Source organism: Homo sapiens, chromosome 8, assembly GCF_000001405.40.
Source record: "Homo sapiens chromosome 8, GRCh38.p14 Primary Assembly".
In the NCBI taxonomy this organism is placed as follows: domain Eukaryota; kingdom Metazoa; phylum Chordata; class Mammalia; order Primates; family Hominidae; genus Homo; species Homo sapiens.
Window position 1 is genome coordinate 56,066,840 of NC_000008.11, and position 26,200 is coordinate 56,093,039.

At 42.6% G+C, this 26,200-nt stretch overlaps 1 protein-coding gene, 1 long non-coding RNA gene and 1 other non-coding gene across 4 annotated transcripts; 1 reads left to right on the plus strand and 2 right to left on the minus strand.

Moving 5' to 3' along the window:
- RPS20 (ribosomal protein S20) lies at positions 415–7,667 on the minus strand. 2 transcript variants are annotated; one of them, NM_001146227.3, is made up of 6 exons: positions 7,542–7,667; positions 7,221–7,320; positions 6,856–6,929; positions 6,278–6,433; positions 2,864–2,994; positions 415–1,691 (listed from the first exon to the last, which is right to left on the minus strand). In NM_001146227.3, exons 1-5 carry the CDS (start codon positions 7,542–7,544, stop codon positions 2,899–2,901), a joined length of 429 nt encoding a protein of 142 aa, NP_001139699.1. In that variant the 5' UTR covers positions 7,545–7,667; the 3' UTR covers positions 415–1,691; positions 2,864–2,898. The 2 variants fall into 2 exon arrangements, with proteins under 2 accessions (NP_001139699.1, NP_001014.1); NM_001023.4 differs by lacking the exons at positions 415–1,691; positions 2,864–2,994 and having other exon boundaries at positions 6,215–6,433.
- On the minus strand, positions 7,000–7,062 carry SNORD54 (small nucleolar RNA, C/D box 54). The gene has a single exon (NR_002437.1). It is a non-coding gene; the product is annotated as a small nucleolar RNA, C/D box 54 (small nucleolar RNA).
- Positions 7,753–8,435, plus strand: CERNA3 (competing endogenous lncRNA 3 for miR-645). The gene is made up of 2 exons (NR_149110.1): positions 7,753–8,041; positions 8,168–8,435. It is a non-coding gene; the product is annotated as a competing endogenous lncRNA 3 for miR-645 (long non-coding RNA).

A 26,200-nucleotide genomic window follows, 5' to 3' on the forward strand; every position in this document is an offset into this window, starting at 1 on the left:
GAGAATTGCTTGAACTCGGGAGGCAGAGGTTGCAGTCAGCCAACATCGTGCCACTGCATTCCAGCCTGGGTGACAGAGTAAGATTCTGTCTCAAAAAAAAAAAAAAAAAAAAAAAGAAAAAAAAAAGAAAGAAATGGCCAACAAGCATATAAAAAAATGTTCAACTTCATTAATCATTACAGAAGTACAAATCAAAACCACAATGAGATATCACTTCACACCCATTAGGATGGTTACCATAAAAAAAAAATGAAGTGTTGGTGAGGATTTGGAGAAACTGGATCCCCTGATGGGAATGCAAAATGGTGCAACAGTATCGAGATTCCTTAAACAATTTAAAATAGAAATACCATATGATCCAGCAATCTCACTTGGTATATATCCAAAATAATTCAAGGCAAAATCTCAAAGACATATTTGCATACTCATGTTTATTATAGCATTATTCACAATAGCCAAGAGGTGGGAACAATCTAAATGTCCAACAGATGAATGAATTTTTAAAAAGTGGTATATATACATACATTGAGATATTATTCAGCCTTAAAAAAGAAGAAAAATCATGGCCGGGCGCGGTGGCTCACGCCTGTAATCCCAGCACTTTGGGAGGCCGAGACGAGCGAATCACGAGGTCAGGAGATGGAGACCATCCTCATTAACATGGTGAAACTCTGTCTCTACTAAAAATACAAAAAAATTAGCCGGGTTTAGTGGTGGGCGCCTGTAGTCCCAGCTACTCAGGAGGCTGAGGCAGGAGAATGGCATGAACCCGGGAGGCGGAGCTTGCAGTGAGCCGAGATCGCGCCACTGCACTCCAGCCTGGGCGACAGAGCGAGACTCCGTCTGAAAAAAAAAAAAAGGGAAAAATCCTGCCACATGATATGGTATGGGTCAAACTTGAAGACATTAAGCTAAATAAAATGTCAGTCACAAAAAGACAAATATTATATGATTCCACTCACATGAAGTATCAAGTAATCAAACTCACAGAAAAAGAAAGTAAAATTGTGGTTGCCAATGGTTCAGGGTGAAAAAAAAGGGAGTTAGTGTTTAATGGGTAAGAGGTTCAGTTTCGCAAGACAAAAGATTTCTGGATATTTGTTGCACAACAGTATGAGTATAATTAATGCTACAGAACTGTTAGAAAAGAGTCTCTTTCAGATTTAGATACTAGAAAATGTATGAGTAAAATACGATGTCTGAAATTTGCTTTCAAATAATCTGAAGGCTGGTTGGGGAAGTTGTTGGAGTCATACATGAAATAAAACTGGTATTAGTTGACAATCCTTAAAACTGAGTGGGTTTATTATACCATTCTCTCTCTACTTTTGTGTATGTTTGAAATTTTCCATCATAAAGGAGTTTTTAAAAACCCAACATTATCAAAATGAAAAATAATCAATACAAGTGCTGGATAAGAAAGTCAAGGAAATATCACAGAATGTATAATTTAAAAGATTTGCTGAGGTGTGTGTATCACCTGAGCTCAGGAGTTCGAGACTAGCCTGGCCAAAATGGCATAACCCCATCTCTACATAAAATACAAAAATCAGCTGGGAACACTGGTGCACACCTGTAGTCTCAGCTACTCAGGAGGCTGAGACACGAGAATCACTTGAACCCAGGAGGCAGAGGTTGCAGTGAGCTGAGATCACGCCATTGCACTCCAGCCTGGGTGACAGAGAAAGACTCTAAAAAAAAAAAAAAAAAAAAATTAAGAGAAGTTATGAAAAAAAGGTAAGACACACACAAGACCTTCAGAAGGTCATGCAATCAATAGGAGTCCCAGAAAGAAGAGAGACAAATGGAGGGTAGGGCTAAAATAATGAGCGATTTTTTTTGTATACCAGATATATGATATTGTACTGACTCCTGGGAGGAATACAAATGTGCACAGTTGCTTGAAAGCATCAATTTGACAGTGTTTCTTAAAATTAAAAATTTCCATATTCTCTTGGTGAAAATATCTTTTTTTTTTTTTTTTTTTTTTTTTTTTTTTTTTTTTGAGACAGAGTCTCAGTCTGTCGCCCAGGCTGGAAACCCTTGCCTCCCGGGTTCAAGTAATTCTCATGCCTCAGCCTCCCAAGTGGCTGGGACCACAGGCACGCACTGCCACGCCCAGCTAATTTTGCATTTTTAGCAGAGACAGGGTTTCACCATGTTGGTCAGGCTGGTCTCGAACTCCTGACCTCAGATGATCCATGGGGTGAGTTCTTTTTAAGTTAATGAAGAAGGATATGCACAATATGTGAGGCAAAAATAAGTAAATAAATAGCAGTTTACAGAACAAAAGGTATAGAAGGATCTGGTTCTCTAAGAGTTCAATTTCTATGAAAGTGAAATATGCTATTATTCCTAGGTTAAAGGAAATAAGGATTGATTTTGCGCCTCTGACTTACTTTTTCCTTTATTATTTTTTTTGAGACTGAGTTTAGCTCTATTGCCCAGACTGGAGTGCAGTGGACTCGATCCACTGCACTTGGCAATCTCGGCTCCACAGCACTCAATCCACTATACTCGACAATCTCAACTCCCTGCAACCTCTGCCTCCCAGGTTCAAGAGATTCTCCTGCTTCAGCATCCCAAGTAGCTGGGATTACAGGAGCGTGCCACCACACCTGGCTAATTTTTGTATTTTTAGTAGAGGCAGGGTTTCACTGTGTTGGCCAGGCTGGTCTTGAACTCCTGACCTCAGGTGATCCGCCCACCTTGGCCTCCCAAAGTGCTGAGATTACAGGTGTGAGCCACCCCGCCCAGCCATAGTTCCTCTTACTTTCAAAAGATAAAATTTCATTTGCATCCACTGAAGTACAATTAAACAAAAAAGAATACACTTCAGCTTTGGCTGTTTCTCCACTTATACCTGCTTGGTCACTTTTTTGGCGGAGGAGAATGCAGTTAAAAAGGACATGTCCCCGGGGATTCGAATACACTTCTCAAAGTGTACTGCTGGCCCTCTGTATCCATGGGTTCTGCATCTGTAGATTCGATCAACTGTAGATCAAAAGTATTCAGAAAAAAAATTGTCTCTACTGCACATGTATAGACATTCTTTTTCTTGTCATTATTCCCTGAATACAGCATAACTACTTACATACCATTTACATTGTATTAGGTATTACAAGTAATCTAGAGATGACAAATTATACAGGATGCCATAGATTATATGCAAATACTATGCCATTTTATATCAGGGACTTGAACTTCCTCAATTTTGGTATTCAAGAGAGGTACTGAACTGATCCCCCACAGATACTTAGGAAACACTGTAATTCAATGCAGTATCGTGGGCCAGCTAGAGCACATCCTGTATCAGTGAGAGAAATCTATTCCCTTAACAAGTTAGTCTTGGTTTCTTTGGAAAATGTCTCCCAGAGACAGTGAACACCCATATATGCATTTGAGATAGATACTATTAGTATCCTCATTTGGCACATAACTGAGGCTCAAAGTCAAGTAACTTGATCGTCTCCATAACCAAGTAACTAATTTTGGAGCCATCTGTCTGACTGCATGGCTAGAGATTCTACTTCTGTACTCTTGCCTGTTCATTTTACATCCACAGAGCATACACACAGGCACTCTACGGATGTCATGTGAAGAAATCTAATCCAGTCTGGGTATAGTGGCTCTTGCCTATAACCCTAGCACTATGGGAGGCCGAGGAGGGTGGATCGCCTGAGCATAGGAGTTTGAGACCAGCCTGGGCAACATGGCAAGACCCCATCTCCACAAAAAAAGCCAGGCCAAGCGTCAAGGTGTGAGCCTGTAGTCCCAGCTACTTGAGGTTGAGGCAGGAGGATCGGTTCAGCCAGGGAGTTGAAGGCTGCAGCGAGCCATGTTCGCACGACTGCACTCCAACCTGGGTGACACAGCGAGACTGTTTCCATTTAAATTCAAAAAAAAAAAAAAAAAATTCTGACCCAGCAATGAACAGCCATGGTGGTTTCTGTTCCCTTGGTTATTGCTAGCTTACATTTCTACACCAGAAGCAGTGCTCTGCAAATCCAAATAGAGTAAGCACTGCAGAGATATCCTATTTTCAACCTTCCTTTAACTCCCATCCATACAAGATGGCCTGTTAACTTGCATAGAATTATTGGCATCATTACCACTATTTAATCTATCCTGAATTCCCTATATTCAAAGGCCCTGCAGTTTTATTTCCATGCAGGTATTTTTAAGTGTTTGAGAAATTGAAGATAACAGCAGTTTCAAATTTTTTAGTGCTATTTTAGCTGTAATACAGGTTCTCAATTACGTATAGCTTTAATCCAACACTTTAACCATTGTGAAAAAACACAACTGCTCATGTTCACAATTCCGTGAAAGCCATGAAGCTGTCCTTCCACTATTTTCTGATTTACTGAAGTGTATTTTTCACAGTATATGTTCTCTGGACTTTAGTGACATTTTTTTCAGAATTTCATTTCCTCAGTCAGTTCTCAAGACATGTGTGCTCTAAAGACTGCTATGCTGCACTAAAAGTTCATAGGTATTTGTCTGGGGGCCACGTATTGATAGGTATTCCATTTTAAAATGGTCTTATTAACTGATAGCTAAACAGCTCCCAAAGATCAACTGTTTGGTTTAAATTTAGCAATGTGGCATAATTCATTCCAGACTCAGTTCCATTCAAATCCTTGATGTTAACTGGGTTTGTCTTGAGATCTGAAGTAGACTCAGAAGGAATTGGATGTTGGGTAACAGCAGTAGGGGAGGGGCAAGGGGTGACTCCAGTTTGAACTGTGAGACTTCAGTAGACAATGGATTCAGACTAGGAACACAGGACAGAGCTTCTGGGAGGGAAGATTTCATTTTAGACACATTAGCTTTTCAGCTGTGGGTTGCAGGTGCCTAGCATGCAGTTGGTTGTATACAGAAATCTCAACTGAAGGTCAATTTGAAAAGATAGCAGAGTTCAGCGTGAAAGCCTAGGCCCAAATCCAAAAAGAAAAAACTTGAATTACCCAACTTTGATCCTATTAAAAATTTCAAAAATTTTCTGAAGGCAATCTTAACAATTTGTAGATGTTCCATTTTTCCACAATAAATCTATAGAAACTTTCCCCAATAAGTTTAGCAAACCTGTAAGGGTATCTATCTGATTTTAAATTCTAGGCTGGGTACAGTGGCTCACTCCTGTAACACCAGCAGTTTAGTAGGCTAACACAGGCTGATGGTTTGAGTCTTCAGAGTTCCAGACCAGCCTGGGCAACATGGCAAAACCTCACCTCTACAAAAAACAATTAGCTGGGCATGGTAGCCACATGCTTGTTAAGTCCCAGCTACTAGGCAGTTTGAGGTGGATTGCATGAGCCCAGGTCAAGGCTGCAGTGATCACACCACTGCACTCCAGCCTGGACTGCAGAGACCCTGTCTAAAACACTGAAAATATAAGTATTTTTAAAAAATGTAAAAGTGAAAATGGGCCAGGCATGGTGGCTCATGCCTGTAATCCCAGCACTTTGGGAGGCTGAGGCAGGTGGATCACCTGAGGTCAGGAGTTTGAGACCAGCCTGAACAACAGGACAAAACCCCATCTCTACTATAAAATAAAAAATTAACCAGGCTTGGTCGCAGGCACTTGTAATCCCAACTACTTGGGAGGCTGAGGCAGGAGAATTGCTTGAACCTGGGAGGCAGAGGTTGCAGTGAGCCAAGAACACACCACTGCACTCCAGCCTGGGCCACAGAGCAAAACGCCGTCCCCCCCCCCAAAAAAAAAAAGTGAAAATTTTATATTTAAAATATAAAACACTGAAAATATAAGTATTTTTAAACTAAGTTTTAGTTCCTAAAACCCTAAAACTTAGTTTTAGTCCTGCCTCTGCCACTTAATCCTTTTTTAAGGACGTTAAACTTGGTTAATTTAAAAATATTAGTTACTAGCTTTTTAACACGTGCCTACTAGCGCACTAGGTTCTCAACCATGGGTGTGCATTACAAACGCCCCAGAAACCTTAACACCCCATACCAATCAGAATTTATCTAGAGTATGCCAAAGTTATAAACTGCCAGTGTCCAATAAAACCAGTCAGGTCTCACATATTATGTAGTTAACGGAATCCAGTTTTCAAATGACTCAAACGACAACGAAAACAGGATAGACCACTCTAAGATACCCATATATTCCACCTGAAAAGTGGAAGTCTCATAGTACACCTTTATATTCCTAAAATCTGCCAGTATTCTGAATAAAAACCAACAGAAGTTAACAACTGGTCATCAATTTATTAAAATAGTTGACTTAAGCATCTGCAATGGTGACTTCCACCTCAACTCCTGGCTCAATACTGATGGAAGTAATCTGCTTAACAATCTCAGAAGGACTGTGCAAGTCAATGAGTCGCTTGTGAATTCTCATCTGGAAACGATCCCACGTCTTAGAACCTTCACCACAAGGAGTTTTTCTTGTAGTGATTCTCAAAGTCTGTAACAAAAGACAAAGGAAACCAAGTGTTTATCGTTTTATACTTATCCCTAGAACATCTGGAAAATCATTACTTCTAATCATTTCATTAGTTTCCCTTTGGTATGATTCCAATTTACACTAATAGATTTTCAGGTACCATGGGTTGAAAATGCCAGGTCTGTTTTCACTGTGCTAGGACACCACCCTTAGAGCTTGCGCCTGTTAAGCACCAAAGCACACCAAGAACACAGCAACAATAATTCAACAATCATATCTAAACATTAGCTACTTACTAGGAACCGCAATCTACCACCGATTTCTATGTGCGTTTGTAGACAGCATCAGTGTTAACAATTTTGGCAGCCGAACTCCTTAAAGAACCTGAATTTATGCAACATCCGGAAGCAACTCCTACTTCCTGCCCCTCCGATTTACTTTACCTTGGTAGGCATTCGAACTGGTCCTTTCACTTTGAGATTCTTTTCTTTTGCGCCTCTTATCAAGTCAGCACACACTACAGGAAATAAAAGACCTCTCAGTATAATCGAAACAATTAAAATCGGCTTAAGGCCTTCACTTCTGCTGGCTCAGAATAGCGTATAAAATTATCACCGTTACTCAACACAATAGGTACCTCCTCATCGCCAGCTGTATGACAGTAAAAGCAATTTTAAGCCACGCTTTACTTTTTTAAGTAACTTGTCACTTTAGTTCTTGCAGTCCACCTTCTACACTAACATTAACGAGTAAAGCTCGTCGCTTTTCGCCCAATTCCCCCTCCCCCCCGCATAACGAATGCACTGACCCTTTTCCAAGGATTTTACGTTGCGGCTTGTTAGGGTGATTCGAATTCGGTGAATTGCCACCTCCGGCTCCACGGGTGTTTTTCCGGTATCCTTAAAAGCCTATTATTAGATACATGAAAAAGAACAATAAGCCAAAAATGGTCTGCCACTTCTGGAGAAAGGCAGCTTCCGGAAGCTTCCCGCGTTTCCCCACCATTTCAGGAGCGCCTTTCCGCCCCTACACGCCCCGGCATCTGCCCTCAGGAGCACGAACTCGAAACCGGGGTCCCCCCGGCGCCCGAGCCCTGCGTTGCGCCGCCCGCCGCCGACTGCCGCCTCACCATGGCTGTTGCGCGCGGGCTTCCTGACCGACTTGTTCCTCGGCGAGAGCGAACAGCGGTGAGTCAGGAGCAGGAGCGTGCGGACCAAAAATCCTCAGCCCTTACGACCGCGTCTTCCTCAAAAAGAAAGGGGTGGGACTTGAGCAACGCTTATATAGCACGCTTGCATCCGGGTCCCACACGCCCCGGAACAGGAAATATCCCGGGCCCTAGAGGCGGTCGCACAAGGGCGAGCTGGAGCACTAGTGGAGTTGGCGGGAAAGGCACGGCTGCGGGCGCCCCCTGTCCGCACGGAGGAGCCGAAGTCCCGCAGGGTGGGGTCCCCGCCTGCGCCGAGAGGGCCACCTGGTCGAGAGAACAGGCGACACGGAAACCTGAGAAACTCCTCTGTCTGGTGCACCTAACCCTCTTCCTCATAAAGTGCACACGAACTCTGGTTTTTCCGTTGCAAATTTTGCTTTCTACATAGACCATACCATTCGTTGCTCTCTGAGGATGAGGTAACTTCTCTGAGCTTAGCTGACATGAGCATTGGCAGAAATGCTTCTCGTAATCTGGATAACTTACGTTAGAATTAGTAAGCAGTTATTTTTCATAGCCTGAAACGTCCTGTTGTGATATTTCAGCTCCTGGCTTCCCAGTCCAGCAGAAGTATCTACATCTATTTCTGGAAAGGACCTGAACTTGGCTTCTCGTCCTTCTGGAAAGTGAGGCGAAAATGCCAGGCTGCGCAGCTATCCTGAGGCCCGGCCTGGAACCTGGCTAGCCACCCAGTCCTGATACCTCATCTCCTTTCTGTTGGATAAAGTCATTGGATAAGATCCCCCAGGGTCTTCTTAATACTGAACATCTGTTCATAATCACATAAGTGACCAAGTATAGTGGAAAACCCGAATGGTCAACTGAGCTGAGCAGTGGGAGAGAGCGCAGGGTGAGCTCACCTACACCTGAGCAAGAAGCCGGGGCTAAATACGTGGAAATCACTGAGATGGATTTTGATACAGGGCAGAAAGAAGAGTAAAATCATCTCATATTACTTTCCACCTGAAGCTCTGAGCCGAAAGAGTTATTTGCTCAAACACTCTGAAATGGGGAGGGACAGAGCTCTGACCCCTCCGTCCAGGCCTGTTTGTTGTTTTTTTTTTTTGTTTGTTTTGTTTTTTTTTTTTTGTGAGACGGAGTTTCATTCTTGTTGCCCAGGCTGGAGTGCCATGGCGCGATCTCGGCTCACCGCAAACTCCGCCTCCTGGGTTCAAGCGATTCTCCTGCCTCAGCCTCCGGAGTAGCTGGGATTACAGGCATGCGCCACCATGCCCGGCTAATTTTTTTTTTTTTTTTTTTTTTTTTAGTAGAGACGGGGTTTCTCCATGTTGATCATGCTGGTCTCAAACTCCAGATCTCAGGCCCGCCTCGGCCTCCCAAAGTGCTGGGATTACAGGCGTGAGCCACCGCGCTCGCCCCGTCAGGACTCTTTCTTGAGGTTTTGTCTTCTGTTCCTTGGTAGGAAATTATGTTTGAAACTTTAATCAAATAATAGCATTGTCTTATTTGGTGATAATTGGAACATAACTAATAACTGGGTTTCTTTGGCTCACGATACGTATGAGGTTTTTTGCTGCCATTTTAACAATTATTTTAAATTTTCAAATTTGGATGTTTTCCAGTTCAGTTTTTTGGGTTTTTTGTTTGTTTGTTTTTTGAGATGGAGTCTCGCTCTGTCGCCGAGGCTGGATGCAGTGGCACGATTTTGGCTCCCCGCAACCTCCACCTCCTGGGTTCAAGCAATTCTCCTGCCTCAGCCTCCCGAGTAGCTGGGACCACAGGCACGTGGCACCACTCTCAGCTAATTTTTTGTGTTTTTACTAGAGACGGTGTTTCACCGTGTTAGCCAGGATGGTCTCAATCTCCTGAACTCGCGATCTGCCTGCCTTGGCCTCCCAAAGTGCTGGGATTACAGGTGTGAGCCACCTATCCCGGCCCCAGTTCAGTTATTTTTAAATGTAATCCATTGTCTGTAAATACTCTCTTAGTAGAATTTTCAGCAGAAATTCTGAAAACCTGCATTCTTATTGTGCTAGCTGTAACCTGAGACTTCATAACTTAGAGGTTTAACTTATTGGTATGGCTGTGTGCGACAAATAGACAAAAGCACAATTGCCCTGCTCCCTGGGGTGTGATCAGCCACCGCTGTAGTACTGCCTGGAGGTGACTGTGCATATTTTAAGTGAACATATACAGCGGCATTCATGTTTTACTAATGCTCAAAGATGACTGGAAATTCAATGAAGGAATTTCATTGAGAAGTACAATTGTAATTTTGTACAAGTGTGATTTTTTTTTTATAACAAATCTGGTACATCTTTTTCTTAGGCTTACCTCATCCTTTAAGTATTTGAGGAACTGGTGAACAAGTTAACTACTTTGATAGTAAACGAGGAAATTTCTTTATAGAGAAAAGCAAAATGTGGCCCAGCAGGTATGTGAAAAATGGCTGATGTGACTAGAACTAAGGAAACAAATGGTTAAGATAATATTAGACAAAAGTAATGGAAATTTTTTTTTTTTGGAAAACAGTATGGAGGGTCCTCAAAAAATTAAAAATGGAACTTCCATGTGAACCAGCCATCCCACTTCTGGGTATATACCCAAAGAAAATGAAATTGGTATCTAGAAGAGATACCTGCACTCCCATGTTTATTGCAGCATTATTTACAGTAGCTAAGGTCAGGAAATGACCTAGGTGTCCAGCAACAGATGAATGGATCTTTTTTTTCTTTGGAAACAGAGTCTTACTCTGTTGCTCAGGCTGGAGCGCAGTGGTGCGATCTCGGCACACTGCAACCTCCACCTCCTGGGTTCAAGCAATCCTCCTGCCTCAGCCTCCCAAGTAGCTGGAAGTTCAGGCAGGCACCACCATGCCCGGCTAATTTTTGTATTTTCGGTAGAGACGAGGTTTCACCATGTTGGCCAGGCTGGTCTTGAACTCCTGACCTCAGGTTATCTGCCCACCTCAGCCTTCCAAAGTGCTAGGATTACAGGTGTGAGCCACCGTGCCCAGCCTGAATGGATCAATATTATTCAGCCTTAAAAAAGAAGGAAATTCTGGCCGGGAATGGTGGCTCACACCTGTAATCCTAGCCTTTGGGAGGCTGAGGCGGGTAGGTCACCTGGAGTCAGAAGCTCGAGATCGGCCTGGCCAACATGGTGAAACCCTGTCTCTACTAAAGATAAATATACTGTGTGAGTTCACTTATATGTGGAGTCAAAAAAAGTCAAATTTGTAGAAGCAGACAGTAGACTACTAGAGTCAGGAGGTGGGATCTAGTGAGGTTTGGGAATTTTAAAGTTTATTAGTTTTAGTTTCAAACACTTTGCCGTATTTTTCTCTTGAAAACTAGCAGCTTCTGTGGCCCCCAATTTCTCTTTGAAATGTTATGTTTGGGCCAGACGCGGTGGCTCACACCTGTAATCCCAGTACTTTGGGAGGTCGAGGTGGGTGGATCACCTGACATCGGAGTTCGAGACCAGCCTGACCAACGTGCTGAAAACCTGTCTCTACTAAAATACAAAAATTAGCCGGGTGTGGTGGCGGGCTCCTGTAATCTAAGCTACTCGGGAGGCTGAGGCAGGAGAATCGCTTGAACCCAGGAGGCAGAGGTTGCAGTGAGCCGAGATCGTGCCATTGCACTCCAGACTGGGCAACAAGAGCGAAACTCCATCTCAAAAAAAAAAAAAAAGTTATGTTTGAATACTAGATGTGAGATATCCATTGGAGAAAAAAGTAACAACAATAAGCCAAAAATAAGAAGAAAATACATAATTCCATCATTCAATGTATGTTTCTTTTCTTTTCTTTTTTTTTTGAGGAGTCAGTCTTGCTCTGTTGCCCAGGCTGGAGTGCAGTGGTATGATCGCAGCTCATTGCAACCTCTGCCTCCCAGGTTCAAGTGATTCTCCTGCCTCAGCCTCCCGAGTAGCTGGGATTACAGGTACCCACCACCACGTCCGGCTAACTTTTGTATTTCAGGTGAGACAGTGTTTTGCCATGTTGGCTAGGCTGGTCTCGAACTCCTGACCTCAGGTGATCCACTGGCCTTGGCCTCTCAAAGTGCTGGGATTACAGGCATGAGCCACCACGCCAGGCCAACATGTCTTTTAATGACGGTGTTATCATGAATTGTATGAATGATTCTTTTAGGATTTGTTGAACCTGTCTTCTGTTTTTAGGCATTTAGGCTGGTTTTCCCATTTTGCAGTCTATAAACAATATCATGAGGTAAATCCTGGTAGATCAGGGTTTCTCAATCTCAGCACAATGGACATTTTGGGGGCCGGATAATTCTTTGCTTTGGGGGACTGTCCTACGCATTTAGGAGGTTTGGCGACATTTCTGGCCTCTATACTCACTAGGTGCTAGGAGCAACCCCACTCCTCCACTGGTGACAATCAAACATGCCTCCAGACATTGTCAACAGTCCCTGTGGGTAAAAATAATGCCCGGTTGAGAGCCACTATTGTAGATGAATATTTTAGCTCCTACTTAATGCCTTAGGTCAATTACTAAATAACTTATCCTCTGATGGCTTAATCAAAGAATAAGCACATTTAAAATACTTTGGTATTAAGTAAGTTGCCTTCTGGGAAGGTTGTACCCAAACAGATATTTCCTCCAACAGCCGAATGAGGATTTCGGTGTGAAAAACATTGAATTAGATAGCAGGTTCATTTTAACTTTTGAAATATTCCTAACAACTTTATGAAATTTGTGTTTTCAATATCCCTATGTATAGCCTTTCTTTACTAATTTTTGCAGATCTTTTAAAATTATCTTGTAAAGACAATTATCTTGTAAAGACAATTATCTTGTAAATACTGCAGGTATTTGTGTGGGTCTGTGGATGGCCATCTACTGGTCTTTCACTGCAATGACAGTGTCATCCTACTTTCTCCAAAAGGAAATTTACAGCAGTCAAAAACTACTGAATTCATGGTACACATGTGTAAATGTCTGAATCACATTGAAAAAGGCAAATTGTGGAATGAATGTGGATGAGTCTGTTTAGACACAACAGTAGTCCCCACCTTATCCCTGGTTTCACATTCTGAGGTTTCAGTTACCTGCAGCACAGTTCAATAAGATACTTTGAAATCAGAGAGACCACATTCACATAATTTTATTACAGTATATGACTACCATTGTCCTATTTTATTATTAAAGTATAATAAAATATTATTAATCTCTTCATGTACCTAACTTATAAATTAAACTTTATCATAGGTATGTATGTACAGGAACAAACGTAGTATATATAGAGTTTGGTTCTATCTGTGGTTTCAGGCACCCAGGGTGTCTTGGCACCAGCTCTGTGGATAAGGAGAAACTCCTGTATTTTATTTGTGGAATTTAAAAATCTAAATACAACATTTGTATGTTAAACTTCTTCAGTCTGAAATGCTTTCAGCCATCTACTGGGGAGCTTGGCACTACCTCTGTGGATAAGGGGGAACTCCTGTATTTTATTTGCAGAATTTTTTATCTAAATACATATTTTTTGTGTTAAACTTCTTCAGTCTGAAATTTAAGAATAAAAACCAGAGAGAGTATGTGAAGATTTAGAACGTTACTCGGCATATGAGAGTAGCTAGCACCAGGCCAGGTGCGGTGGCTCATGCTTGTAGTCCCAGCGCTTTGGGAGGCTGAGGCAGGTGGATCACTTGAGGCCAGGAGTTCTAGACCAGTCTGGCCAACATGGTTAAACCCCATCTCTACTGAAAGTACAAAAATTAGCCAGGTGTGGTGGTGCACACCTGTAGTCCTGGCTACTTGGGAGGCTGAGGCATGAAAATTGCCTGCCTGGGAGGTGAAGGTTGCAGTGAGCCGAAATTATGCCCCTGCACTCCAGCCTGGACAGAGTGAGACTGTCTCAAAAAAAAGGAAGAAAAAGAAAAAGAAGAAGAAGGAGGAGGGGGAGGGGAGGAGGAGGAGGAGAAGGAGAAGGCGGAAGGAGAAGGAGAAGAACCAGCACTATTGTTGGGAGTGTTCTAACTGTAATAGTAATCCATTTGATCCTCACATCAACTGTAGGTGATAAGTGCTGTTATTCACTTTCTATTTATGAGGAAGCTGAGGTTAGGTCACAGGAAAACTAGTGTTTGGATCAAAGCTGCCTGCACTCTTAGCTCTGTACTATCAGTGTATGTTAGCAGTCATCTTTATCATTAGCAGTGGCAGTATATCTGAGAGATACAAAATCCTGTTGTATTAAAGAACATGGCATAGAAGGGCTTTATACATTTCACTATAGCTGAGGTTAGAAATTTTACACTTGATCTTAGCCAAAAGGCTGAGAAGCGATGAGGTTAGAAATTTTATTGAGCTACTATTGTGTCCATTGTAAGGTAGAATGCCTTTTAAAGTTCTCATCCTTTCGTTTGAAGTTCCATAGATACCAAGGCCATTCAACCCTATTTGCTCATTAAAATCATTTCACTAAAGTGACCAAAAGAACAGAAGTAGGGATACAATAACGTCTTTCTACGGAGAATGATTCATATGGAACATTTGATAGATTGGTAATTTACAATCATATTTAATGGCAGAGCTCATGGAATTCTCTGTGCGGGTGGGAGCTGAATGTCCTGCCCACAGGCCTCACTAGTGCCCCCTGTCTCCTCTCTTTGTCCTGCTCCCCAGCCTGCATACAATCTGAAAAGTCACTGGTCTACTTCTGTCCCAGCTAGAGCTGTTTCCTAGCTCTAGCAGAGGACCTGCAGAGGATTTCCATGGCACAGCTTTGTGATCCAGACATCATGTGGGAAAGCTAGGGATATGTGATTTACCAGTCACTTTTGCTGGGCTTGTGCTTTTCATGTTGTACAGAATTAATATAACTCTAGGAAATATTTCTACCATTTGCCTTCCTTTGTGAGAAGACTGGACTTCATGGCTCTCCCCACATACTAATTCTGCTGTGTTGCTTTTGTGCTTTGGACTGACTCAAAAATGGCCCCAAGAGTCCCCACCTGCTTTTCATGCCCTTGTGAAAACTCCTTCTCCGAGTGTGGGAAACCGTGACTTGCTCCCAAACACTAGAATTTGGCAACAGTACTGGGATATCACTTTCACAAATAGATTAAATAAGATTCTGGTTTCTGTATTGCCAGTGGACTCTCCCTTGCCAGCCTTGAGGAAGGAGCTGCCATGTTGGAGGCTACCCTATGGAGAAGCCCATGTAGCAAGGACATAAGGGTGGCTGGTGGCCCAGACAGAAAGGAGCTGAGGCTCTCGGCCCAACAGCCTGAAAAGAACTGAAGTTACACCCACAATGACATGACTTTGGAAGCAGATCCCTGAGTCTTCAGATGAGACCTCAGAACTGGCCAACACCTTGATTGAAGCCCTAATGAGAGACCCTGAAGTAGAGGGCCCTCCTAAGCCATGCCTGGATCCGTGACTCATAGGAACTGTGAGGTAATAAATGTGTGCTGGTTGCTAAATTTGTGGTAATTTGTTATCAGCAATAGGTAGTTAATACATACATCTACACAACACTTTGATACTGAGGAAATCAGATTACAGTAGTCCCCCCTTATCCAAGGGGGTTTAAGTTAGGACCTCAGTAGATGCCTGAAACTGAGGATAGGACTGAGTACTGTATACACTGTGTTTTTTCACCCATGTATACGTACATATGATAAAGTTTAATTTATAAATGAGGTACATTAAGAGATTAGCGACTTCTCTTTGGCATATATTTGGCTTCTCTTTGGCATGTCTGAATTGCCAGTATCACTACTCTTGCATTTTGGGGCCATTATTAAGTAAAATAAGGGTTACTTAAACACAAGCACTGTGCTACCACCACAGTTGATCTGACATCCAAGCCGGCTACTAAGTCACTAATGGGCGGGGATTGTGGACGGCGTGAGACGCAGGGCAGAGGGAGGATTCATGTTCTGAGAGAGACAGAGCAGCATTTTTTTTTTTTTTTTTTTTGAGACAGAGTCTCGCTCTGTCGCCCAGGCTGGAGTGCAATGGCATGATCTTGGCTCACTGCAGCCTCCGCCTCCCCGGTTCAGGCGATTCTCCTGCTTCAGCCTCCTGAGTAGCTGGATTACAGGTGCCTGCCACCATACTCAGCTAATTTTTGCATTTTCAGTAGAGACAGGGTTTCACCATCTTGGCCAGGCTGGTCTCGAACTCCTGACCTCAGGTGATCCACCCACCTCAGCTGCCATTATAGGCATGAGTCACCGTGCCTGGCCAATGCCGTGGGATTTTATCACGCTACTCAAGATGGCATGTGGTTTAAAACTGATGAATTGTTTATTTCTGGAGTTTTCCATTTAATATTTTCAGGCTGCAGGTAACTGTAACCACAGAAAACGAAAGGGCAAAGAGGAGGACTGCTGTATAACAGACTCTCAAAGGGACCTGGACAATGCATGATTCGACAGTGCTTCTGTTTTGCCTATGCTCTTGTAGTGAACACCTCCCAGGTTCAAATTATTCTCCTGCCTCAGCCTCCGGAGTAGCTGGGATTACAGGCACCTGCCACCACGCCCAGCTAATTTTTGTATTTTTAATAGAGATGAAGTTTCATCATGTTGGCCCGGCTGGTCTCAAACTCCTGACCTCAGGTGATCCGCCTGCCTCGGCCTCCCAAAGCGCTGGGATTACAGGTGTGAGCCACCACGCCCCACCATGTCTTGTCTTTGATTGTATTCCCAGTGCCCGGAACCCTGCCCGGACACTGTAGCCAGCCTATACATGTCTGTGAAAATAATAGTCTTATTAAAAGAACTAGAAAAAAAGGCAATCACTAAACTTTAAGTGGGTTTCGGGTGACCAAGAAGTTAACAGTGAAGAAGCTCAGATTATGATTAAGAATTCGGCTTTAGAAGAGCTATACTAGAGGTATTGAAATGACTCTGAGGTCACCCCCCAGCCTACCATGAAGTCGCCGGGGATGGACAAACTGGAGGACGACTCCGCACCTGATGTTTAAGAGAAAGTGCAGCCTCCATGCTGCTGGCAGGTAAACAATGTTCCAGAAAGGCAGGAAGAAGGAACTCTAAGGGTGAGTTCTCACACCATCAGCCTGCAGTGCTGTGTTCCTATTTCTTTATGCCAACTTGTGACAGGTAAAGCCTAGCTCACATAGTCAAGGCCAAGCTGCAAGGGAGTCTGGGGAAGTGAGCATCTCGCATTTTCAGCTGTGTAACTGAAGAGAATAACAAATGTCTACAGAGGAGGAGGTATTAGAATAAAGGTGGAATAACCAGGAGGAACCAGCCATGCAGTAATCTGGGGGAGGGGCTTCCTAAACAGGAAAGAGCAGATGCAAATTCCCTGGGTGGAGGTGAGCTTGCTGTGTTTGCGGAACAGAGAAGGCCAGTGCAGTTCAGCAGTGAGGGAGAGGAGGGGAAGGAGATGAGAAAGAAAGAAGTCAGGGGCCAGGTAATGTAGTACCTTGTGAAGTAGGATTAGGAGCTTGCATTTTATTCTAAGCACAGTGGGAAGATTCCTGTACTAGTTTCCTAGGACTACTGTAAACATTTACCACAAAGTTGGTTACTTGAAACAACAGAAATTTATTCCCTCAGAGTTGTGGAGGCCAGAAATACAAAATGGAAGTGTTGGCAGGGTTGAGCCTTCTGAACCCTTTTGAGGGATAATGTTTGTGCTGCTTTCCTAGCATCTGCTGGCTGCTGGCAACACCTGGCATTCCTTGGCTTGTAGACACATCACTGCAATCTCTGCTTTCATCGTCACAGGGCCTTTTCCGTGTGTGTCTGTGTCAAATCTCTCTCTCCTTTCTAAGGACACTAGTCACTGGATTTGGGGCCCAACCTACATCTAAGACTGAACTCATTCTGAGATCCTTAACTTAATTAGATTTGCAAAGATCGTATTTCCAGGCCATGCGTGATGGTACGCCTGTAGTCCTAGCTACTCGGGAGGCTGAGGCAGGAGGGTCCCTTGAGTCCAGGAGTTTAAGGCTGCAGTGAACTATGATTGCACCACTGCACTCCAGCCTGGGGGACAGAGGGAGAGCCTATGTTTAAACAACATAACACAGTACAACACAACACAACACAACAAAACACCACACTGTGCAAAGACCATATTTCCAAATATTCATAGGTTTTGGATGTGAGGACTAGGACATGTCATTTGGGTGACACTAAGGATTTTTGGCAGGGTGGGTGGGGGATGTGATTACATTTTGTTTATTTTAATTTTTATTTATTTATTTGTTTTGAGGTGAAGTCTTGCTGTCTCGCCCAGGCTGGAGTGCAATGGCGTGATCTCTGCTTGCTACAACCTCCACCTCCTGGGTTCAAGCAATTTTCCTGCCTCAGCCTCCTAAGTAGCTGGGACTACAGCTATATGCCACCATGCCCGGCTACTTTTTTTTTTTTTTGTATTTTTTTTTTTTTTAGTAGAGACAAAGTTTCACCATGTTGGCTAGGCTGGTCTTAAACTCCTGGCCTCCGGTGATCTGCCTGGCCTTGGCCTCCCGAAGTGATGGATTATAGGCGTGAGCCACCACGCCTGGCCTGGTTTACATTTTGAAGAGATGGACTATAGGAGGATAAGAGTGAAAACAAGAAGGTAGTAGCCTTTTGCAGGGATGTAGGTGAGGGATGATCTTGGTGAGGGGCACAAAAGTGGAAACCTTGAAGGCAGAGACAACTGGAGATTGGAAACATTGTTTGGAAGCAGATTCTATATGCTTTGCTAATAGGTTGCATATACGTAGTGAGGAAACAGGAGGAATCAACAGTGACTTTTGGGTTTTGAGCCTGATGAACCAGGCCATTTACCGAGATGGGGAGGCCTGAAGCAGGAACAGGTTGGGGGTGGCAAATGGAGGGTTCTGTCTCTCTTTTTTTTTTTTTTTTGAGATGGAGTCTCGCTCTGTTGCCAGGCTGGAGTGCAGTGGTGCGATCTCGGCTTACTGCAACCTCTGCCTCCCGGGTTCAAGTGATTCTCTTGCCTCAGCCTCCCGAGTAGCTGGGACTACAGGTGTGCGCCACCCCACCCAGCTAATTTTTGTATTTTAAGTAGAGACGAGGTTTCCCCATGTTGGCCAGGATGGTCTTGATCTCTTGACCTCGTGATCCACCCTCCTTGGCCCCCCAGAGTGTTGGGATTACAGGCATGAGCCACTGCGCCCAGCCAGAGGGTTCTGTCTTAGACGTGTTCAGTCCAAGATGGACATTAGACATCTAAATTATGTGCACTGTGGTTACTGGAAACTGAGGCAAAAGGAAAAGTGAGTAATACTGATGCCGTCTTCATTTAAAATTGTGTTTCTGCTTGTCATAGCTTGTTTTGCTTTGATTTTGACATTTAAGAGAATGCATTCCAATATTATTTACCTCTGTTACTGGGTTTCTTGCCACCCCCTTAACTACTAAGCCCAAAGCCTCAACCTGGTCCTGGCTCTGATGGGCGCATGCAAGAGAAGCTGCCTTAGTGCAGCACAGGGGACGCTGGGGAGAAGTTGGAGGACATGCTGGAGTCCAGGCTTGGCCCCTTATTAGGCATGCGCCTCACAAGAGTCATCGTCTCCATGGGTCCCCGTTTCCTCCTTTGTGAGAGGAGGGTGTTCAATCAGATGAACTCCCAATTTTGAATGGCAAGGCATGGAACTGAACAGATCCAAGGGTAGCTCCCCACCACCAACATACTGCTAGACATGTGAGATGCCTTCTGCCTTCTCTATCCTCCTTCCTGCTCCCCAGCAATAGAGTTAGGCTTAGAATCCACAGGGGGAGAGTTTTGAAATAACAGAGGAAACTCCCTTCTCCCTATTTCAAGTCCTTCCACCTAGGGTGACCATTCATCCAAAATGGCCAGGGTAGCCTCAGCACATGACCAAGGTATCATTATTATTATTAGTGCCGACTTTCACTCAAGTGTGTCCCAGTTTCTATTTTAAATTAAATAGTCTATTTACTCAAGCCACAAGTGTAACCACTGATAGTGGAGGAGAAAACATTGAACTGGATATCATTTCAGGGTTTTAAACTGAACTGGACTGGGTTGTAATAATCTGAAGTTACCAGAAACTATAATAATAGATTTCTTCCTAGATTTTTATTAAGGGATGGGAAAAGATGCTTTGATACAATATAATTCAAACCAGTAATTGGGAAAAAAAAAAGACTTTTATGGTGTTCCATGGAAAAAGAGGCTGGTTCAGTTTGCAACTCAGTTCACAACTGCTTTTCCTCCAAACAACCATAAAACAGCTTGCAGCAAGCACTGTATGTGTTCTCCCATTTGATCACATAGATTATTAAAAGGACAAGAATCAAGATTTAGCAAAATCTGGCCCAGCGCCGTGGCTCATGCCTGTAATCCCAGCACTTCAGGAGGCCAAGGTGGGTGGATCACCTGAGGTCAGGAGTTTGAGACCAGCCTGGCCAACATGGTGAAACTCTGTCTCTCCTAAAAATACAAAAAAGTATCTGAGCATGGTGGCAGGCAACTGTACTCCCAGCTACTTGGGAGGCTGAGGCAGGAGAATCACTTGAACCTGGGAGGTGGAGGTTGCAGTGAGCCGAGATCACGCCATTGCACTCCAGCCTGGGCAACAAGAGAGAAACTGTCTCAAAAAAAAAAAAAAAGGAAATTTAGCAAACTTCATCACTTTTACTGCTTGCCACTAATTTTAACAACCACCCAAAGTTGTGTTTCTATTACTAAGAGTGAATTAAGCATCATTTCATTTATTTAAGAGTCGTTCATATTTCCTTTTCTGTGAATTGTCTGTTCATATCTTGTACCAGTTTTTTTCTATTAGGTTACTGATATTTCAACTCATTGATTTGATAAGCGCTCTCTGTTATGGAAGTTAGCTCTTTTTTTTTTTTCGAGATGGAGTCTCACTCTGTCACCCAGGCTGGAGTGCAGTGGCATGATCTCGGCTCACTGCAACCTCCAGCTCTCGGGTTCAAGCAATTCTCCTGCCTCAGCCTCCTAAGTAGCTGGGACTACAGGTGCATGCCACCACATTCAGCTAATTTTTTGTATTTTTTAGTAGAGATGGGGTTTCACCGTGTTAGCCAGGATGGTCTCGATCTCCTGACCTCCTGACGCTCCTGCCTCGGCCTCCCAAAGTGCTGGAATTACAGGCATGAGCCACTGTGCCTGGCCGAAAATTAGCTCTTAATCTGTGATCTGAGTTGCAGAAATTTTATTTCAGTTTGTCAGTCTGTCTTCAATTTGTCAGTTCCTCATCATGGTTGTTACTATCAAGAAATTTTATTTTTGTTGTTGTCAAATTAAATAATATTTTCTTTTCTTGCTTTGGGTTTTGGGTCTTCTTTGTCTGTCACAACTTCATTTTTTAAAAAAATCGCCATGGTTTTGTTATGGTACATCTGAGGTTTCATTGTCTACATTGATTTCATTGATGTTTCTGACATGTATTCTGGTGTAAGATATTAGGAGATTCAAATTATTTTTTCTAAATGTTTACCTAATTGTTCCACTCTATTTTTTATAAATCTTAGAATTTATTGTTCTCTCTTATGTATGAAAATAACTTGGTCAACAGTTGACGGCTAAACTCTGAGTGGTGCATAGGAGTGTGCTATGTGTTATGTGCTTTTCTGTTTAAAACATGGTTATCTTTATCTTACCAGTGTTGACTTAAAATAATGATTGAAATTGAGCCCATTGATGTGCATTTATTTTTGTTTTTGTTTTTAACAGCTTTATTGTGGTATAATCACATACTGCACATATTTACTAGATTATTTTATTTTAAAATTTCACAAATAGACAGTTTCTGGTTCTGTCCACTGAAAAGGCCTAGGGGTAATGATAACCCAATAGCAATGAGCACAACTGGTGTCTGGATTGGAGTCTCTAAATAGCATTTCCCACTAAAAACATCAGGGCTCACTGGAGGAATGCTTGATTCTAAATCTGCGTAGGAATTTATAAGATGAGTTAGGGACATATTGTTGTGTCAAAAAGCAAGGAAGATTTATGGATTATGTCCAAAGAACAGGGGCCAATATAAAGAAACTCCATTAATCAATTATGAAACCATTTAAGCATCAAAAAGAATTAAGACTAGAATTGATCGATATTGAATATATAAAAAACAAATTTATGATAGAGAGAGAGGCAGAATGAGATCAAAAAGAGAATAACTCTAATAGCTCATTGGATGCCACAGTAAATAACTAGGACACCAATTCCTTACTCTGAAATATGATAATTAAAAGCAAAAAATTAGCATTTACCCTAAATTTCTTTCTTTCTTTTTCTTTTTCTTTCTTTTTTTTTTCTTTTTGAGACAGAGTTTCACTCTTGTTGCCCAGGCTGGAGTGCAATGGCACAATCTTGGCTCACCACAACCTCCATCTCCCGAGTTCAAGCAATTCTCCTGCCTCAGCCTCCCGAGTAGCTGGAATTACAGGCATGCACCACCATGCCCAGCTAATTTTTTGTATTTTTTGCAGAGACAGGGTTTCTCCATGTTGGTCAGGCTGATCTCGAGCTCCCGACCTCAGGTGATCCACCCGCCTTGGCCTCCCGAAGTGCTGGGAATACAGGCATGAGCCACCGCACCTGGCTACCCTAACTTTCTTATACATACTGCATTTCCACCAAATAGCTCTATTTTATGTGGAAGAGTTTTTTTTTTTTAAACAGATTTCCAAATACTACATAGGGTAGGAATGATAAAATTAGGATTGCCTCATTTTGTAAGTCCTAAATAGTTGAGTCAGGTGATATGTAATGGATGGAACCATTACATGAGAGAAGGCTGGAGGATGCCCTTACAATGGACAGATTTACGGAACCCCTTGATCCATCTCATTATCTCTGAAGGTGGAAAAATGAATGTATTCTTCCTGAGGTTAGGCACACAGCACCACATATGAAGGATTCTTCCCCTAAATGTTGAACCTGAACTTAGTCAAGGGTCTAAAACCAAATTCCCCTCACAGGGAATGGGGGGATAATAGAAAGATTTAAATGTCACCACAAAGAAGCTGATACAGTTTGGATGTTTTGTCCCCTCCAAATCTCATGTTGAAATGTGACCCCCAATGTTGCAGGTGGGCATAGTGGGAGGTATTTGGGTCATGGGGGTGGATCCCTCACAAATAGCTTGGTGCCATCCTCATGGTAATGAGTGAGTTCTTTCAGTTCATGTGAGATCTGGTTATTTAAAAGGGGCTGGCAGCCGGGCACGGTGACTCATGCCTGTAATCCCAGCACTTTGGGAGGCCAAGTTGGGCGGATCACCTGAGGTCAGGAGTTCAAGACCAGCCTGGCCAACATATTGAAACCCCCTTCTCTACTAAAAATACAAAACTTAGCTGGGCATGGTGGTGTGTGCCTGTAGTCCCAGCTACTTGGGAGGCTGAAGCAGGAGAATTGCTTGAACCCAGGGAGGTGCGGTTGCAGTGAGCTGAGATCAGGCCACTGCACTCCAGCCTGGACTACAGAGCGAGATTCTATCTCAAAAAAAAAAGAAGTTGGTACCCCCTTCCTGGCTCGTGCTCCTTCTCTCACCATGGGATGCCAGTTTCCCTTTGCCTTCAGTCATGAGTGGAAGCTTCCTAAGCCCTCCCTGGAAGCAGATGTGGGAGCTATACTTCCTGTACAGCCTGCAGACATGTGAGCCAAATAAACCTCTTTTCTTTATGAATTACCTATTCTCAGGTGTTCCTTTATAGCAATGCAAAGGGACTATCCCAGAAGCCAATAGGCAAACCCAATATGTGGGACATTTAATAGAAAATAAACCTGGTTTGGTCAGGTGTGGTAGCTCACACTTGTAATCCCAGCACTTTGGGAGGCTGAGGTGGGTGGATCACTTGAGGTCAGGAGTTCGAGACCAGCCTGACCAACATGGCAAAACCCTGTCTCTACTACAAATGCATTAGCTGGGAGTGGTGGCTCGTGCCTGTAGTCCCAGCTACTCGGAAGGCTGAGGCAGGAGAATCGCTTGAACCTGAGAGGCAGAGGTTGCAGTGAACTGAGATCATGCCACTGTACTCCAGCCTGGGCGACAGAGCAAGATTCCATCACCAAAAAAAAAAAAAAAAAAAAAGAAAGAAAGAAAAGAAAATGAACCTAGTTTCTGCAAACAAGCAAACAAACATTTGGGTGGGGGGAGGAATCTAGATTAAAAGAACACCTAAAAGAAATGTGTGCATCTTATTTAGATGTTGATATAAACAAAACAACCATAGAACATATTTTGAGGCAATTAGGGAAATTTGATTATTGATAAATCATTTGATATTAGTGAGAAATTGTTAATTAAGAGTGATAATGACATTATGGTTATGTAAGAAAGTGTCCATATTTTAGAGATGCTAATAGAAGGATGAAGAAATAAAATGATGTGACTTTTGTGTTTGCTTAAGTTACTTTGGTAAAGAAAGAAATAATAAAAAAACTAAATGAAGCATATTTGTTGAAGATCATTTGACCATATACACAAGAGTTTATTTCTGGGCTCTATTTTATTCCATTGGTCTATTTGTCTGTTTTCATGCCAGCACTACACTGTTTTGATTACTATGGCTTTGTAATATGTTTTGAAATCAGGAAGTGTGAGTCATTTAACTTTGTTCTTTCTTTTCAAAATTGTTTTGGCTATTAAAGATCTTTTAATATTCCATATGAATTTTAGGGTAATTTTATTTCTGCAAAGAAAGACATTTAGATTCTGAAATAGGATTCCACTGAATCTGTAGGTTGCTTTGGCTAGTATGGACATTTTTATAATATTAAGTCTTCCAGCTGGGCACAGTGGCTCATCTCTGTAATCCCAACATTTCGGGAAGCTGAGGTGGCCAGATCACCTGAGATCAGGAGTTCGAGACCAGCCTGGCCAACATGGTGAAACCCTGTCTTTACTAAAAATACAAACATTAACCATGCGTGGGGGTGGGCGCCTGCAATGCCAGCTACTTGGGAGGCTGAGGCAGGAGAATTGCTTGAACGGGGTGGGGGCAGAGGTTGCAGTGAGCCAAGATAGCGCCATTGCACTACAGCCTGGGTGACAAGAGCGAGACTCCATCTTCCAATTCATAAACACAGGATGAGGCCGGGTGCGGTGGTTCACGCCTGTAATCCCAGCACTTTGGGAGGCCGAGGTGGGTGGATCACGAGGTCAGGAGATCGAGACCATCCTGGTTAACACAGTGAAACCCCATCTCTACTAAAAATTACAAAAAATTAGCTGGGCATGGTGGCAGGCGCCTGTAGTCCCAGCTATTCTGGAGGCTGAGGCAGGAGAACGGCGTGAACCTGGGAGGTGGAGCTTGCAGTGAGCCAAGATCGTGCCACTGCACTCCAGCCTGGGCAACAGAGCAAGACTCCATCTAAAAAAAAAAAAAAATTTTAAACACAGGATGTCCTTCCATTTATTTGTGTCTTCTTTCAGCAATGTTTTATGGCAATGTAAAAGCCTTTTACCTCCTTGATTAGGTTTATTCCTAAGTATTTTGTTCTTTTGATACTATTGTAAATGGAATTGTTTTCTTAATTTCTTTTCAGATTGTTTATATTATAAAGAATTTCTAGAAATTGGAAAACAAGAAAAGTTTTTTTTTAAATAAATAAATCCACAGCCCTCCAGACAACTAACCCCAGACAAACGAAACTTTAATTTCGGTCTTTTCTCTGTGTGTTTTAAGAAAAATTTCTTGATTTTAAAAAGCACTTATAATCAAACAATGTGTAATTTTGTACTCTGCCCCATTCATTGAACACTATAGTACAGCCATTTCTGTTATCACAATCTTCATATCCTTTTGAATCAACTGTTCTATTGCAATTTATTTAACTAGTTTAAAACATTTATCTTTCTTTGAATTTCTTACCAGAATAAATGGCTCTTGGTGATTTTTTTTCAATTAAAATTCTTATTTTATAGTATTTCATAGGATGGAGGTCCAGAAGCAGAATTACTGAATCAGTGAATATAAATATTTTTGAGGTTCTTGATACACTGCCAAACTGCAGTTATTTTCCAAAAAGCTTTAATAATTTATATTGTCACTAGGAGTGGCGAGATCTTCTTTTACCACAACTTTATTCAAATTAAGAATTGTGTATGTGTGGGTGTTTTAAAAAAAGATACCTTATTTTAAATTTGCAATTCTTCAAGTACTTGTGAGATCACGTTATCCTGTTTTTCATATTTGTCTCCTAAATGCATATTCTTTATTATGAATTGAACTTTCAAGATTTTCGTTCGTTTCTCTATTAGGGCATGATGATTTTTATGTATGTGTGTTCTTTTTCAATTATTCTTTTCTTTTTTCCTTCCTTCCTTCCCTCCCTCCTTTCTTTCTCTTTCTTTCTTTCCCTTCTTTCCCTCCCTCCCTCCCTCCCTTCCTCCCTTCCTCCCTCCCTCCCTCCCTCCCTTCCTTCCTCTCTCTCTTTCTCTTTCTTTCTTTCTTTCTTTCTTTCTTTCTTTCTTTCTTTCTCTCTCTCTCTCTCTCTTTCTTTCTTTCTGTCTTTCCTTCTTTCTTTCTTTCTTTCTCTTTCTTTTCTTCTTTTTGTTTTTTTGAGACAGGGTCTAGCTCTGTCGCCCAGGCTGGAGTGCAGTGGCACAATCTCAGCTCACTGCAACCTCCACCCCCTAGGTTCAAGTGATTCT